The sequence below is a fragment of the Homo sapiens genome, chromosome 5 (assembly GCF_000001405.40).
Source record: "Homo sapiens chromosome 5, GRCh38.p14 Primary Assembly".
Taxonomy (NCBI): Eukaryota; Metazoa; Chordata; class Mammalia; order Primates; family Hominidae; genus Homo; species Homo sapiens.
This window is the reverse complement of record NC_000005.10, coordinates 11,088,548-11,107,356: the sequence shown is the minus strand read 5'-3', so window position 1 is coordinate 11,107,356 and position 18,809 is coordinate 11,088,548. Positions and strand designations below refer to the sequence as shown.

At 39.6% G+C, this 18,809-nt stretch overlaps 1 protein-coding gene across 12 annotated transcripts in view; it reads left to right on the top strand.

Moving 5' to 3' along the window:
- The window catches only part of CTNND2 (catenin delta 2), a 932,611-nt gene that overhangs the window by 797,090 nt on the left and 116,712 nt on the right, over positions 1–18,809 (top strand). For all 12 annotated transcript variants that reach the window (NR_109988.2, XM_017009074.2, XM_017009072.2 and 9 more), the window contains one exon: positions 8,609–8,782. Coding sequence is in view for 11 of the 12 variants with exons in the window: in XM_017009074.2 (XP_016864563.1) it covers positions 8,609–8,782 (174 nt within the window). In the remaining variant the exon portion in view is untranslated. The remainder of the gene's footprint in view (positions 1–8,608; positions 8,783–18,809) is intronic.

Sequence of the window (18,809 nt, the reverse complement as noted above, 5' to 3'; positions counted from 1 at the left end):
TTATTAGTAGTTAAAATGACCACAATGGAGATTTGAACTTTAACAGTTTCTTCTCATTTCAGACAAAGTAGATATTAATGATAAATATCTAGGTATACATTTACATAGTTAACATGTAAATAATATGTGAGTAAAATAGCACTAACCTCCAAGAAGAAAATAATACCCACACCTTCAGCGTGCCTCCTTCTAGAGAGATTCATAGTTACAACTTACATCTGGGCATATATCCTTTCAGATGTTTTTCTGTTAGAGGCCATATCAGACAGCAAAATTCATAAGGTCTTATAGTTAGTAAGTGTATTTCCACTGATGTAGAACTCCGGTCTCTTGAGTCTTCAGAGGTGGGCTCCTTGTATTTTATGGGGCTCTCATCTTCAGGGTGCTGCCTTCCTCCCCATGGTCACGATTCTGGCTCTTCACATCCACAGTTCAGGAGCAGAAATGGGGGAAAGAAGACAGGAGTATCCTTTCCTTTAGGACCCCACCCAGAAGTTGCACACATCACTGTTACATCCCTGTGGCCTAGACTGGCTCGTAGTGGCACCAGAGCTGCGAGGGAGGCTGGGGATTGTAGTCTTTTGTGACAACTATGACCCTAGGTGAACCTTGGGCATTCTCTTAATAAAGAAAAAAAGGCATGTAGTGGCCCATTCAGGGTGTGCAGTGAGTAGGGGGCTCTCCTTGTGAGGAGGAGTCTCTTACCAGTGAAATCGTGTAGCATTGTCTGCACATGGTAGTGAACAAAAACCCAACTTGTATTCATTTCATTACCTGTACATTCCCTGCAAAGAGTGCAGCCTCTTATTACCTGCCCCCAGGTGACAGCCCCCACTGCCCACTTTGGCACACCACTGATGGGCGGGAAGGTGTAGGCACAAGTCTGCTCTATGTCACTTTGCTGACCACTTTATGACAGCTTATCATTTGACACAGACTGACTTTTTTCCTTGCCAGTAAGCAGTTCTTCACACTGGAATGAGGAGGAGCTACTGTGAATTCCATGGTAGAGGAATACCATGACGTGGCGAACCAATCCCCTATTCCTAGAAAATCAGGTTGCTTCCAAGTTTGTACTAATGTAAACTGTAATGAACATCTGTGTAGTTAAATCTCACCTACCCCCTTAATCACTTCTTGAGAGTGCATTCTTAGAAGTGAAATAGCTAGACCAAATGCATGCTTTTAAGACTCTCAATACGCAAACCAGAATTTATCTTAATCACTCTAAATGTCAGTGACAGTTTCTGTTCGTGGACTTGATTTTTTATTATCACTTCATGCATCTGCTCCTCATGACATTTGGATGCTCCTAGGCTTTCATTTCCTAATATCACAGGTTGTTTTTCTTTTTCTTCCAGACAGTTTTCATTTTCTCATTAGTAACCATACTCTTTCTTTTGCCGCTTAATATCATTTCCTTTCTAACCATCTGCTTCTTTCAGCTGCCGCCCGTTCCTCTTGGCTGGTTCGAGTACAGTCTCCCTCGGCCTTCACCTCACCATATGCTGGGAGCTTGTTGACTCAAGGCATGATATTTCATGTCCTGGAAGCAACATATCTCATGAGCCTGCAAAGATCACGGCTGTGCATTTTTGCGCAGCAACTCTCGTCTGCCATTATCCATGGATGAACCATATTCTTCTACTTCTTTCTCACCTCTAGTGGAAGATATAGCCCATCACCTAAAAGTGCTGCTATTTTAGTTTCAGTGAGTTTATAGACTTAAAACTCTGTTTCAGGTGTCTCGTTTAGTTTTCTTAATTGTATTTTATCTCTCAGCCTTCCACACCATCAATACTGTCTTTTACAACTTCACCAGGGCCTCTCGGCTTCGGCACTGGTCACATGTGGGGCAGCATACCTCTCTGTTCCAGGGAGCCGGCCTGTGCATTGCAGGGTATTTGCCAGCCTCCCTGGACTCTACCCACTGGATGCCAGTAGCACCTTCTGCCACAGCCATGACAACCAAAAATGTCCCCAGACATTGCCGCTTGTCCCCCTGGGTGTTAAAATTGCCCTGGTTGAGACCATTGGACTAGATTGTCCTTCGAAGGACATATTACCAAACATATAAACCAAGACCACAGGATTATCTGAAGGAGGTTGGCACGTCAGGGACAAAGCCCCTTTAGAAGGCAGTAACAGGGACGGCCATGTCCCAGGTTTCCCTAGATGTGGATGGCAAATTAGGAGCAGAGAGAATTCTAGATGAGCATCAGTGATGCCCCAGTTGGTTCCATCACAGTGACTTTGGGAAGGGACAGGCAGGCCCAGTCATATGGAGCAGCCTTGACAGCTGTCTTCTGTGGGGCACAGCACAGTGGCCGGCCTCGTGATGCCAGTCTGTGGAGTAGGCAGCATCACCAGCTTCACTCCTGAGGGATGTGTGCTCACCGGGCCCCGTGGCCCCCCACAGGAGGAGGTGCATCAGCAAGGCTATTCCTGAATCTCTTTTGCCCTAACGCTTTGTTCAGACAGCACCTCATCCTGCCTCTTTAATGCGGGTTTCTAATCTCTCAAATGCAAAGTCCCTCCTGTCTTTTGCAAGGAGAGCCTGGAGACAATGCAGTGCCACATAAATACAGCTAATTAGCCATCAACTCTATCCCCTCTTTGCACAGCCTCAGCCTCAGCTGCAGCCGAAGTCTTCTGAACAGCTCCTGGGGGATTCAGACACCCGCACTACCGTTTTCTTTGAAATTCCTAAGAATCAACACAAAGAATCATTTCTCGCTGGCTTTTTACAGTTAACTGGAGTTTTTGAATACCCATCACCTCTATCCTTCCACCTTTAACCCCCCAAAAGCTGGAAGTGGCCATGAAACACTGTAAAGGCAAATTATGTAATAACTCTGCTGTTCAAAGCAAGCCAAGCAAGAGTGGCAGACGGTGGATGGACTTGGGTTTTTATTGTTGCTTTTTAAAGTACATAGTGCTGGCTGCAGCTTAATTAAACCAAACCCTGCTTGAGAGAACATTCTCTGACAGTTTACCTACTTAGAGCCATCTTCTCTTCCTACATTTTGCAATGTGTGACTTCCCCTGAGAGGAAAGAGTGGGATCTTAAAATCAGAATGTTTCCCTGATGCTGCAGATCTGCTACCTTTATCTTGCAGCATCTCTGGTCTGTTGTTTATTTCACTGAAATATCTTAAAAAATGAAAGTGAGCCTGCACATATGTAATGACTGTGATGCTCCCTAATTAGTAGAGAAATCTAGGTGATAGAGGTGCATTCCGCTGGTGAAGCCAGCCTTTTCTGTTTATGTTCTGAAGATACGACTCAGCAGTAAAAGGTCTTTTCTGCACACAAACTTGATTGGCGGAGACTGTATGAAGCCTGTGACAGGTGGAAAGAGGAGCTGTGTATTTTAGCACTTCTCCTGAAATGGAAATCCTTCTCCATACTCCCTGACTGCTCCTTGTTGGTGTCTCCTCAGTACCCAGCCCAGTGCATTGGAGATCAGAGACTAGGGCAGTTGCAGGATGGCTCACAGAGAAGAGTCTTGTAAATTGTCCTGTAATTCTTCTCATTCATTAGGGGGCTTTTATGAATGTGATAATTAGAGTACTCCTGTGACTCTCTATAACTTAAAGAACCCCATGTTTACAAAGTCTTTTTTTTTTTTAATATAGTATGTTGACATCTTTACTTTCAGGGGTTTTTTTGTTTTGTTTTTTGCTTTTGAGACAGTCTTGCTCTGTCACACAGGCTGGAGTGCAATGGCGCCATCTTGGCCCACTGCAAACTCCACCTCCTGGATTCAAGTGATTCTCCTGCCTCAGTCTCCTGAGTAGCTGGAATTACAGGTGTGCGCCACCACACCCAGCTGATTTTTGTATTTTTGTAGAGGTGGGGTTTCACCACGTTGGCCAGGCTGGTCTCAAACTCCTGACCTCAAGCGATCTGCCTGCCTCAGCCTCCCAAAGTGCTCGGATTATGGGCATGAGCCACTGTGCCCAGCCTACTTTCAGGTTTTTATCCCTAAGTTACGTCTTTCTCTTCATATAAGGAGCAAATGGCTTCCACTCTTTCATTCTCAAACCCAACTGAGATAGAACTCTTTTAAATAGACCGGGTGCGGTGGCTCATGCCTGTAATCCCAGCACTCTGGGAGGCCGAGGTGGGTGGATCACTTGAGGTCAGGAGTTCAAGACCAGCCAGGCCAACATGGCGAAACCCCGTCTCTACTAAAAATACAAAAATTAGCTGGGTGTGATGGAGCACACCTGTAATCCCAGCTACTCAGGAGGCTGAGGCAGGAGAATTGCTCCAACCCAGGAGGCAGAGGTTGCAGTGAGCCAAGATTGTGCCACTGCACTCCAGCCTGGGTGACAGAGTGAGACTCTGTCTCAAAAAAAAAAAAAAAAAAAAAAAAAAAAATCTTTTAAATAGAATTTAAGCCCTGCATGGAAGCAAAAGTATTTAAAGCAAATCCAAAGAAAGGCTTTTTTCCTTTTCTTTCTTTGTAACATACACATTGAGCACAGCCCCACGCATATGTTATTTCCTTCCTAAGCAGACCTTTTTTTACAGGGGCCATTATGTATGCTCTGTGCCGATGGTGACCATATCAAAAAGCATCATGTCTAAATTTCAGCAGTCCCTTAACCTTCTATCTTGGGAAGCTTGATATCCTCTTTTTTTTCCAAAAATTTTTGAGCATTACCTTCTTAATGAAAGAATACATATTTTCAATTCTATACAGTTTTAGAAATGGAATGACAGAAACTGTTGGCTGATTTTTTATGGATATTAGTCATGCAGTTGTATATTTGAAGCCAGTAAAGAAAAGTGCTGATACATTATTGGGTGAAGCACTATTTGGAGTGGCAAAAAATCAATCTATTGGTTTGTTCTATGATCTATGTACACTCACTGCTTTGCTACCAGCCTGTCTCCAACAGAGCTCTAATTCTCAATTACTCAGTTTTCAAACACTCTGGTTATAGCCACCTTAATCCTTAGCTTTATGAACTCTAAATATGTGTGTAAAATTAGAAATTTCTATGAACAAGACAATTCATAAGAGGAGGTTCAGTATTACACTAGTGATATATCCTTTGGTCTGTTTTCCTGTTCAACAGCATGTGAATGACTTGCACAAAGTGTAATTTGAACATTGAAGTAATATCTGTAAGACTCAAGGGATACTAGAACTTTTGCAAATTTTATTCGTTAAAATATAACAGATGAAAATTAACATGTTGCACAGAATTGTGGAACATTTATGTAACTCTCAAACATAAGGAGTAAAATTCTGAGGAGGAAGGGATATTTTCATTGAAAATTTCCCCCAAGCTGGAACAAGATGAAACCCAGCAAAAAAGCTTTTTTAAAACCACAAATGCCTCTGTCTTCGTGCTATTTCTCTCACTTTCTCTATTCTGCTTAATTTTTAAACTGCAACCTGAGGAGTGAAGATGTAAACACACACACACACACACACACACACACACACACACATATGTGGTCGTCATGCAGATAACATAATAAAAAGTCCTTTTCTGGCATTGCCACCACTGCTGTCCTGGAAATACTTTGTCTTCATGTGCTCTTTATTATATAGAAAATTCTCTCTCCTGACTTGATGACATTTTACTTCTTTATGTATTCTTTGCATATTTCAAGCTCTTAAAGAGTTTTTGGTAGTAGGTTCTCAAGATATAGTCCAAAACGAACACAGTTTGCACAAGATTTGTAAGTTTAGTCTTGTGTTCTTCAGGGCTGAATCACTGTGTGGTCACTGCTTCAATTATGTTACAGATTAAGCCACTTGCTTGCCTTCTGATAATGTCCCATTTTTGTAGATATTTTAGGATAGAAGCACCTTATATTTAAATTTGTAAATCAAGTATTTCTACTTTGGTGCAAGAGTTGTATATCCCATGATTTTTCTTGAATCTTCACATTCGAGCCTCAAAAGTTTGCATGTGCAGAATTGTCTCACCTACATCAGTCTGATCCTAACTTCACCATTGCCCTACTACCTTGTTGATGTTGATGAGCTAGACAAAATAATATCAAGCATGTTAACCCAAGTCTTACAGAATACGTCCAGTCATGTTACAGCTGATGGAAATCTATTTTTAATGGGCTTTTCCCCCTATTAACTTATGATACTTTTCTCCCTATTAACTTAATAAAAGTTTGAATAAAGTACCCAGATAAAGGTCTGGCAGATACATTTACTGGCTTTGAAATAGTCCTTTTTCTTCAATATCAACGTGCTAAAATAGCCAAGAATCCCCTTTGAACTCCATCTCCAGTTGCCATCAAAGATTATCTGTGTTCACATCAGTTGTCCTTTTATTCCTTCAGATTCTCTCTGTAGCCATTAAGAAAGGATTGTAATAAAAGATATTTGAGAGCTACATAGATGACATGTCAGAGCCTGAGGAAAATTTTCTACGGACTTAACCATTTATCCTGCTTTATTGCACAGAAGTTAGAAAAGGAGAACAAGATGAAACCCAGCAAAAGATAACATGGCTACTTTTTCCTCTTTTTTGTAACGAGCATGCAAATATTACTTCTCTGTACCTCTTGCTGTTAGGTTAGCTCTTACATAAAAGGAAAATCTATCCATGTTGAGTTGGAAGTTTCACATTTTTATTTTTCTGAATTTTATCCATTTTTATATGAAAATAATTGCTTTAAATTTTTAAGGAGACAAGATATAAAATGAAATAAAAGAAATAATTTGCCATTTCTTGTTACTCTAGCAGATAGATTCACTACCCCAAGCTGGTCTCCTTTGAGAGGCCAATATTGCTACTGCTTTGTCATTGAAACTGGCAAACCTACAGAATGACTACTGTCTTTTTCTAGTGCCCACTTTCTATTCAGTGCAGCAAGCCAGGATCAAATAATGAACTAGGAGCAATGTGACGGGGCTAGTTCACTTCCTTCTTTTTTTAATTTAAAGGAGATGTATTGGTTTTATTGATAGGCAGTTCACAGGTGCAAAGTCATCTTTGAATAGTTAGGAAGTGGCTTTGGTTAAAAGGACAGGAAGCTTCCCACACTGAGTGTCCTTGTTATAAAGTTAAAATTGAGTGACATGTTCATTGAAAATGACCTTTAATGGGATGTCATTCATCTCTGAGCTTTACCCTTGACTTAAACTAAGCTGTGTCATTATTGAGGAAAAGAAGACATGCAGTTTAGCTTATTTCAAGAAATAAATAATGAAGTTTTTGAAATTATTTGTGACAGCAGCCATCTCTGTCTACTTTTCTATTTTTATGTTGCAAGGATAAAAAGTAAGCATGTATTTTCTTGCAGTAAAACTTTCAGAATTAAGGAACTTACATTCAGAAATATGGTTTTGTTTTTCATATTTATACACACACACATTTATATACATGCACATATATGTATGTACATAAAATATCTGTAAGTACATTTAGCATATGTCATTTACACTGTATTTTTAAGTAATCATTAATAAACACTAATAAGCTAAATACCTTCATGTTCTCACACTAAAATTATAAAGAAATTGTTTATTTTACTGTGATTTTTCTCAGAACTGAATATGTGTATTTTTTTCTAAAAGCATAGCATCTTTCATTTCTAACTTTATTATAGTCATTATTTTCACAAAAGACAAAGCCTTTGTGTAATCAAAGATCAGAATCATTATTTTAATTTTTAGTGTTTTTTAAATTGTTAAGAGTAATAGAACAGGAAGTTTGAAATGTAGAAAAAAAAGACATTGTATTAGTAAATTTTTATGATAATTACAGGTATTTTATGATGCATTTTAGTTGGAATAATGTGCAAATCCCATACTACTTTGCATCCTGCTTTGCTCATTTAACTTTTATTGTTATAATTTGTCCAAGTTGCTACATAGTCTTCATAAGTATCATTCCTAATGGTTGACTGGTATTCCTTTGTGCGTGTAAGCCATAATTTCTAAATTATGGGTAATTAATTTTGAATTACACATTATCCTATTATTCATTAGATTCAATTCAAAGCAAACTTAACTATCATGATTGCTCCAAGATCTAGATTTGCCTGTAGCTCATGTCATTGTGTCTAATAGACTATAGCAGTTTTCTCTCTTTTATCGATTCTGTCATTTGTTAGATGCAACAATAGAACCCAATTTGTATACATGTAACAAATTATATAGGAGTTTATCACATTAATAATGATGCATAAGAAGTGAGGGCATTTGTTGTTGGTAACTATTATGCAACACTGGTAGTATGCTTACTATAAAATATGCTACCTTGATCTTTATCCTTCTTCCAAACTGCTCAATCAAAATTAATTCATCTCTTCCCCTTCCTTCCTACAGCAACATGTTAGAGTCGTTCTTGGAGAGCTTATCCACTTCTTCTGCCAGTTACATTCTCTTGCGTGCATACACCAACCCACCCTCCACCCTCGATCCCAAGCTCTCGCTGGGCAGGAATGGCTTCCACTTTTAGTGATCCCTGGACTGCTGATGCAATAGCCTCCGTGCAGTCTATGTTCAGCAAATGTGATAGCACTCTGCTTTTGTTTTCGCCTGTAATGTTTGAGGAAGGCAAAGTTGGGAAGCATAAAGATGTTAAAGATGTTTGCTCTCTTGTTTTTCTTCCGCCAGTGGGATGGAGTAGGACCTCTTCCAGACTGTGCTGAACCACCAAAAGGGATCCAGATGCTGTGGCACCCATCAATAGTCAAACCCTACCTCACACTGCTCTCTGAGTGCTCAAATCCAGACACGCTGGAAGGGGCGGCAGGCGCCCTGCAGAACTTGGCTGCAGGGAGCTGGAAGGTATGGCCAGTTCATTACAATAAAAAGAAATCTGGAGTTATGAGCAACTCCTCAGAAAACAATATAAGTCCAGTTTTGAGAAATGCAACTCTAATAAAGATTTCTAGGATGTTAGAGAAAAAAAAATTATATTGAACTGTTTTACTTGGAAATGTATTCCTTTTAAAAATTGATCTTAAAGGCTCAGGAGTCCTTGAAGATCACTACAAACAGAGAGGACTAGATGTGGTTATAGTCACTGAAAATGCTGTGAAATGTTTTTCATTCTATTCTTGTAGCTGAGCTACTTTGTTTTCAGTGCAGATTGTGACAGGTTGATATTTTTTCAAAGCACTATCATTAACTGGTAAGAGAGTTAATGCTCAAATACCTGTGTAAAATCCCATGTGAACACTTAAAATGTACCGGGTCCCAGCCCCAAAAGAAAAGAAAAGAAAAGAAAAGAACCCCTTATGTTTTTAAAGCATGGGCTTACAGAGAAGAATAGTATTGTTAGTTGACTTTGGCAAACATGTTAAAGTAAATTTATGATTGGAGAGGAGATTAGAACAGCCTTTTTCTGAGTCCTTATAAACTAACACTGTTCCTGATTGATTTTCATAACACTCATTTTGGGCAAAAAGAGATTCACCATAGTAATTCATTCCTGAGTCTGGTCACCAATGCGCTAATTTGCTTTGTTGCATAAAAAAGTTTGACCTATTAGAAGAATGAGGGCAGGTGGGGAGAATACCAAGAGAGAAAGTTTGCACTTCTGCCATGCATGTTCCATTAATCTCATATCAAATCCTGGGGTGTGGGATATTCATCAATCACTCCTTTCCTTTACATTTATTTTCATCCAAACCATGTTAACATATACACACGGACATCAGAAGCTCAAGGCCATAGATGTCACACACTCACCACACCCTGGCCTCAACATTATGTAACTACACCCTCCCCTTTGCTTATTCCTTTGGATGTCTGCCTTCTTGTCATTCTCTCTGTCATCCTTTGTTTCCATTACTACAGTCCAAGCTACAGAACTTCCTTCTTTCTCAAGTGTGCCATCCCAGCTCATGGGTGCCAGGCCCTGACAATTCTTCCTACAGAGCTAGCCGCTGCCCCATGCCAGACCCACTTCTTCTCCTAAGAGTCTTAGGAATGGGCATAATTAGCCCTTTTCTACACCCTGCCCATAGACAGCCCTAGAGTTGTACACATCTCTTGCTTGCAACCAGAGATTGGTAGAGAAAAGCTTCAAAAGCAGAGTTGCACCAGGTAGACATCCCAAGCATAGTCTTACAGGAGCAGGAAAGAGATACTAATGGAAATCACTTCCTGGAATGAGGACTTACATCTTATGTCTCTCTAAATTTAGCGTGATCTAGGAAGCTTTGACTCAAATCACAGTTCAAACCGAGGCTCCACCTTTTCTGAGCATGGTGAGCCTGGGCAAACTACAGCATATCACTGTGTCTCAGATGTGTCATCTGCAGAGAAAATCAGGGCTGCCTCACTCTACATCATGCACATCAGTCACAACGCTGGATGCAAGGATGGTAGCAAGATGTGATAGGCCAAGACACTGTATGTGCCCATGACCACTCACGTGCTCATGAGCTAAAAGACCCTACCCAGCTCCCCTGCCTTGCAGCACTAACTAGATGGGTACAGGAAAATGGGCTCTGGGCTTCAGGCATCAGCCTGACTAAGACACAAAGATCTAGATTGTGGCAAATCAGGTGTGCCATCTTAAGATGTTGTTTCTCTCTCTCTCTCTCTCTCTGTCTCTCTCTCTCTTCCTCCCTCCCTCTGTCTCTCTCTTCTTTCTCTCTTCCTTTATTTTTATCAATTATCATTTTCCTTGAGAAATACTTATTTCATTATCATGTAATAATAACAACTTAAAAGTGGAGAAATATCTTTGGCCTCTAGAAGATTTTGAATGTAAGACTTCAACCTTTCAACTCTATATTCCATATGTTCAAAAAGTAGAAATAGGAAAAATATGTAAAAGAACAAACTCAAGCTTCTAGAATTAAAATATAATGCCTCATTTACACCATGGAATACTATGCATCCATAAAAAAGGATGAGTTCATGTCCTTAGCAGGGACATGGATGGAGCTGGAAACCATCATTCTCAGCAAACTAAAACAGGAACAGAAAACCAAATACCACATGTTCTCACTCGTAAGTGGGAATTGAACAATGAGAACACATGGAAACAGGGAGGAGAACATCACACACCGGGGCCTGGCAGGGGTGGGGGGCTAGGAGAGGGATAGCATTAGGAGAAATACCTAATGTAGATAACGGTTGATGGGTGCAGCAAACCACCATGGTATGTGTATACCTGTGTAACAAACCTGCACATTCTGCACGTGTATCCCAGAACTTAAAGTATAATAAATATAATATAATATAATGCCTGAACAAAAATTATGTGGAATGGGATTAACAGCAGATTATAAGATTACAGAATAAAAGATTAGTGAACTTGAAGACAGCAATAGGAATGATCCAAAATGAAACACAAAGAAAAAAGAAGAAAAAATGAACAGTGCATCAGTGAGCTTCAAGTGACCTCATATATGTGTAAACGGAGTCCCCAAATGAGAGAAGAAAGAGAACAGAAAAAAATATTTTAAAAAATAATGGTTGAAAATTTTCCAAATTTAATGAAAACTATAAACTCACAGATCTAAGCAGCTCAAGGAGCCCCAGGCACAGAAAACAGGAAGAAAAAATACCAAGGTATATTTTAATCAGATTGCTCAAAATTAGTAACAAAGAAAAAAAATCCTAAAAGCGGACAGATAAAAAAGACATGTTAAAGTACAAAGAACTGCGCCACATCTAAACACCAAATTTAAGGATCAGTGGCACTAATCATTCATTCATACAATGATTCCTTCTGAGCTGCTAAGACTGTCCTCTAGAAGAGAATTTAGTCTGTACGCCCCTTATGGGCAGACCAAGCCCCATTTATCTTTCTGTCCCACTGACTACCCCTGTGATTGGCTGAGCGAAAAAATTCAAATGTGATTATTTTTCTCAATTACTATCCATGTCTATATGTCTTCCTTGAGGGTTGCAGTGTTTTCTATTTATTAATGTCTACTAGTCAATAAGAATTTGGTAGCACATATTATGTTCCAGGCCATCCTCAGATGGTCACATTTTATGATATTTTGATTCTTTGGTTCAGCTGGCAATATACTGTCAATACAATGTAAAATTGATAGAAAGAAGTTATGAGAGAACCATTTTCTTTTCAGTGTTCAGACTGAACAATGTTTTGCAGGTTGCAGAGCTCAGTAGCAAAGGGCCAGTTCTGCGGTTCCTACTGTGCTGAGATTTCCGTGTAAGTTTGCAGGTTCCGTATCTCAGGGGCAACCAGATCAGCTGCAAGAACTGCTTAGATATGTGTGGATCTTTAGGTGTGTAGAGTAAGAAAATGACAAGTTTAAAAAGCATTTACTATTTTTATATTTTAAGAGTCTCTTCTACTTTACATAATGGGAATTATGGAAGAAGTATGATAATTATTCTTAATATTTTCTGGCAATAGCCTCTTACTGTTTCCAGCACAATAAATCTGTGCATTAGTTCAGCACAGTTATTCCACATATCCAGAGCGCATTTCTTTGGTAAATTTCTCTACTGCTAAGCGAGTAGAGAATAATAGGAAAATGGCAGAAAGGTCTAGAATAGCCAAAGTCAGCATAACAGAAGCTGTTCTGTTTTAGACAAAGCTTAACAATGACGACCATAGATTTCCCTGTCCTTATCGGAAATCAACATGTTAAAAAATGCAAGAACTGGCCAGGTGTTGTGGCTCACGCCTGTAATCCCAACACTTTGGGAGGCTGAGGTGGATGGATCATGAGGTCAAGAGATCAAGATCATCCTGGCCCTGTCTCTATTAAAAATACAAAAATTAGCTGGGCATGGTGGCGTGTGCCTGTAGTCCCAGCTACTCAGGAGGCTGAGGCAGGAGAATCCCTTGAACCTGGGAGGCGGAGATTGCAGTGAGCCAGGATCACGCCACTGCACTCCAGCCTGGTGACAGAGTGAGACTCCATCTCAAAAAAAAAAAAAAAAAAGCAAGAACTCTTGTAAGCAGACACATAGACCATCATAAGGAGGGAGAGTAGATACTGTGGTGGCAAAGAGAAAAGACAGAGGAGTTAGGAAAACTGAATATAAGAATGCAAGAAAGAAAAACTGTCAGAGACCATTTAATGTCATGGCTGTTCCATCTACTCTGCGAGTCATAAAGTTGGCCCTCTGTCATCAAGAAAATGTTATTACTAGTAATTTTAGAAGACAGAAAGCATTTGCAAAAGATTTCCATCCCAATGGTTAAAGTAGGATTTTGCCTCTTAGGATGTCAGTCTTGCTTATGAGAAGCGCTGCTTCCCTAATAATTCTAGATAATGGGATAGTTCTCAGGCATGACGAGAGGCTGATAAGTAATATTTGGGAGTAATTATAAATATGTACATACATATATAAACATTTCTTATCAAAATACAAGTACACATATAGGGATCAGTCACATTATCATCATCTTTTGTATAATATACTATTTTGCCATGTTTCATGGGAAGAGCAAGTGGACAATTCTTAGGGAAGATTTCAGAAGATTATCATGAAGCCAAGCAATGATGAATTATTATAATTTCAAGAAGACAAAGGATGAGTTGTCCAGAAACCAAACAGATAAATCCTTACTTTTAAAAAGATGATTTCAGAAAAAAGTATTGAATTATTAAAAGATTGAGTTAGGATACACAACAGCATATAGTGTTACCATCTGAAATCTAGAATTCAAAGAATGCATTTTTATAGCAACTGTTAAAATTTAGTGGTATTTCTTTAGTGTTCTTAACTTTTTATGACCCAACAAAAACAGAAATGTAGAGGTAAAATACTATAATTTTGCATGGAGACAGCTTTTTATAGACCTCATCATCTAAAACAATAAATTCTCTTTATAGGAAGATCATGCACACTCTTTTTCTGTGACAAATTGACTAGCAAACTAGATATTCATAATGGCCCTAAACACTTTTTAAACTTTAAAACACTCATTACTTGGTTTATGAGCATCAGAAAAACATAATGTTATTATGGCAGAAGCAAAGTGATAAATGTTTTTCATTGCCAACATGGACTTCAGTTACCTTTTTCTCATTTATAGTACAGTGATTTTGTTTGTTGCAGACTATTAAAACAATTGGGTATAGTGCTTTGAAGATTTCCAAAATGTGAACGAATGTTCTTTTAACTCCCGTTTATGGATTATTTCTATTGTACTTGAGCTTTCTGAAAACCCAGGATTTGAACTGTAGAAATATATCTGTACTTGCTATGAAGTCAAACATTTTAAAATCTTTGTACACTCAGTTTTCCTCCTAAAGTGTGACTCTTTTCAAAGCATCTGTTATTTGCCATTTATTTTAAAAATAAGACAGAACAAAGAGAGACTTGGATGTTAATCTATTAATATTTAATGAGCTAACGTAATAGCAACATGGACTTAGTGAAGAAGGAAACAGAATCTCTGGCCGTGTGCCCCAAATGAATAAAAAATGCAAGAGAACTGGGAAATTAGAGACTTGTCCTTAGAGAGAGAGATAACAGCCTTGAGAAAGACTGACTTTAGCATAGCTTAGTAGGTAGTGTATCATGTAAAAGTGAACCAGGGCAGATTAGTGGAGTCTATCAAACGCAAGTTAAGAATCATGGTTTATTGTCTAAGACAAAGTGACTTGTCTTTGTTCTAGTTAATGGTGTGATGCCAAGCTTTAGATTTAAATGTAAAGAAACAGAGTTTTGAAAGACTGTGATGAAAATACAACGCGAAGCATCGTGCCTCATCAATTAGAAACTAGGCCAGTATAAACACAGAGGTGATCAGAGCACCCTGTCTAGTCAGCAGTGTCCTGGAGATGGTACACTCAGACACAGGCAATGACCAGTCTGTTGCAGGACAAGAACAGACCCACTCTGTGGAGCAGGAGATGGGAGGAGCATGGCCACAACCAGGTCATTGGTCCTAATCACAGGACTCAGTGATTTCTTCCCTGCAAGACCCGGGAAGCAGCACGGATAGCAAAGACCACATCTGTGTTGCAAATGCCACATGCATCCAAATCGATAAATGGAGAAAACCCATTTTTAATAGTTTTGCATTAATTTTAGTACTGTCATTGGATGATCTGATTTCTAAAGTTCTAAATTACAGAACTTTAAAGTTGTAGAAACAGCTGAACCAGAGGGATTTCCACTTCCAGCCAAGATGCCAAGATGGAATGACAAGGTTCAAATTTACCTTTCTTCAAGGAAAAACAACAGCAACAAAGAAAAGACATATGTGAAACATTGGGGTTTTTTAGTAAGACACTAGACATTAGTCAGCAAAGGACAATGATCTCTGAAAGACAGGAAACAAAAGAAGGTGAGTCCTCTGATTGTCTCAGCTCACCACCTTGAGAGAGAGTTTCCAAGCCATGGTATGAAGATTGAGGGACCAGGGGGATCTCGGTAGACTCACTGTGTTCAGGAGATGGATCGGGGAATCGGGAGATATCAAAGTGATCAGAGTTCATAGGACAAAATATCAAAGAGGAGAGAGCCACACATAGAACCCTAGAGATGTGCAGAGGACTCCCCTTAAATATTCAACAGAGAACTCTCAGCACATGTGTCTGAGGCAAATACCCAAGGCTGGGAAAGAAACACCTGAAATTATTAGGGAGAATGAAATCGGACACTCATGTGGGGGTGCATATAGTGCATGTTCTCAAGAGCCAGAGAAGAAAATCTCATAATCCATGGGCCACTGGGGAGAATAGTCAGTAGGGTCTTGCCTCAGTACAGAGGAATAATTAGCCCTGGACTAACCATGCTCTAGTCTTTCCTATCAAATCTTAAATTAGACCCAAAAGGATCAACAGTTTCCAAGTAAATTAACTGCATCCTAGAACAAAGCTTTAAGATACCCGTAGGAATACAAAAATATTCAGCACCCAACAAATTAAAATTGAGAATGTCTGGCATACAACTAAAAACTATCCTGCAAGTAAATAGAAAATGCAATCCATAATAAGGAGAAAAATAAATAAATGAAAACTAAGAACTGACAGATGTTAAAATTATCAAATAAGCAATTATTATAACAGTATTCCATGTGTTCAAAACATTTTAAAAGTTACACATGGAAAATGTATAAAAGACTCAAATAAAACCTCTAGAGTCTGAAATGCAGTGTCTGAAATGAAAAATACATGGGGTGTGATTAACAGCAGTTTAGACATTGCAGAGGAAAAGATCAGTGAACTTGAAGACAATAGAAGCTATCCAGCATGAAACACAGAAAGAAAAAAGAAAGGTACAGATCATCTGTGGGTGTCAAGTGGCACCCGCTATATGTAGACAGAGTACCCTAATGAGAGGACAGAGAAAGGAGGAAGAGAATAGGAAAAAATTTTTGAAAAAATAATGACTGAAAATTTCCCAAATTTAATGAAACTCATACACTCACAGATCAAAGCAGCTTAAACAGCCTCAAGCACAAGGAACATGAAGAAATAAAACCAAGGTGCATCAAAATCAAACTGCTCAAAGTCAGCAATAAAAAGAAAATCTTCAAAGCATCCAGAGGAAGAAAAGACATGTTCCATACAAGATAAGGAAGACCGCAGATTTCTTATCAGCAACAACGCCAGTGAGAAGACAGGGAGGCAGCATCTATAAAGCACTAAAAAAAAAAGAAAAAAAAGGCTGAACTTACTGGGCTCAATCATATATTAAATTGACTTTTAGTTTGGTGTCTAGCAGACACAGCCTATCCCTAAAGCAGTGGTCCCCAACATTTTTGGCACCAGGAACCAGTTTCGTGGAAGACAATTTTTCCGTGGATCCAATGGGGCGAGGAATAGTTTTGGAATGAAACTGTTCCACCTCAGATCATCAGGAATTAAAGTCTCATGAGGAGCATGCAACCTAGATCCCTCACATGCACAGTTCACAATAGGGTTTGTGCTCCTATGAGAATCAAATGCTGCTGCCGATCTGACAGGAGGCAGAACTCAGGCGGTAATGCTCACTCACCTACCACTCAACTCCTGCTGTACGGCCCAGTTCCTAACAGGCCACAATACTGGTCTGCGGCCCGGGGGTTGGGGCCTTCTGCCCTAATGGGAAGTCCTAGTCCACCAATTGCACTGAGAGCACTTGTAAAACTACCTGTACATGAAACCCATTTTCAGCCCAGTTTAAGACATGGGCTAACCTGTCACCTGAGCAGTCAACTTCACAGAGGAATTCTAACACAAAAACTTAGATGAAATTGACACAGCATGATCACAGCGCTATGGTGGCTCCGGACATGCCACCTCAGTATTCTGTTCTTCAGTCCTGGAGACAAACAAGTATTCATAAGCCCTGAGTCAAAGGTTCCAGCACCACACCAGGGGCCTCAGAATGAAGGGATTTGTTTGGCTTTAGAACACACTCCCAAAGGAGCATGTAACCATTTTATTTATCTATCTATCTATTTATTTTTTTTGAGACAGAGTTTCGTTCTGTCACCCAGGCTGGTGTGCAGTGGTGGGATCTTGGCTCACTGCAACCTCTGCCTCCCTGGTTCAAGGGATTCTCCTGCCTCAGTCTCCCGAGGAGCTGGTATTACAGGAGCCTGGGCCAAGCCCAGCTAATTTTTGTATTTTTAGTAGAGATGGAGTTTCACTATATTGGCCAGGCTGGTCTCGAACTCCTGGCCTCAAGTGATCCGCCCTCCTTGGCCTCCGAAAGTGCTCGGATTACAGGCGTGAGCCACTGTGCCCAGCTGTGTAACCATTTTAAACCCTAGCAGTCGTTTTGTGGAAGTGGTTAGAATTTTTTGGCCCTGTTAGTAATTTCAGTGGCTTTGATCCTTTTTGCATAGTTCCCCTCTGTGCAGAATGCTGTTGTTAAATCATCAGACTTGATGCTGTAAATCAACCTGACATCTTTTTTCATCAATTAAACAGTTTAAAATCTCCAACTGTGGGCCAAAAAAGACAAGACAATTGAGATAAATAGATGAATATGACTCGGTCTCTTCCCTTACAATATGGTAAACATGTAAACAAAGTGTCTACAAAATCCATTACAGATGCTGCTATAGCAGTATGTGCCGGCACAGGGCCATCCATGAGGTTGTTTTTGCAATGAAGTGGAGGAGGTGAGGAAGCACACTTCCAGCATTGCTTGTTAAAGCCTTAGGGCTAGGGTTCCATGATTGAGAGTTTATTTTAGTACACTAGCATAGTATTTAGGAGAGTGCTAACTGCTATAACAAAGAGACCCCCACATAGGCAAATACCCAAGCGAGATAAGTTATTTTCTCCTGATGTCACAGTTAAGAGCAGGTTAAGGCAGAAGTTCCCCTCCACGAATTAATTCACCCAGGCTGATAGCTGTTCTGCCATCTTCAATGTGTGACTTAGAGGACTGCTGTTGTCATCACTATCCACCAGCAGGAAGCAAAAACAACAGCAGCAAAAACACAAGTTCATAACAACATATGTTCTCTTATGAAAGTCAAGATCACAGCTCTATGTCCCTTCTCATAGGCTGGGCTCAGCTCCTAGCCTCTAGTACACAGATGTCTTCATAAACTCATCCCCTACCAGCAATCAATAATAATTTGCAGTAAGGTCATCTAAATCCAGATCCAAGAAAAATAAGATTCTGTCTTCTGAAGAATTTGCTAATATATTAGATTTATACTAGACTATTAGAAAATAAAACACACTATCTTAGTAAAATATAATTGCACTGTAGTTAACTTACTACCTAAGACTTCAGCAAAAACTTTGCCTTATAGTTGCAAGACTGAAAGGGCTTATCAATAGGGCCCCTCCAAACTGTGCCCTAAAGATACATTTCAGATTTCTCCCTCCCCATATCCAAAAGAAAGAAATTGCTTAATATTCCAAAAATGGCATGTTTTCTGGTTCCAAAAGAAAAACATGAAGTCCAGATC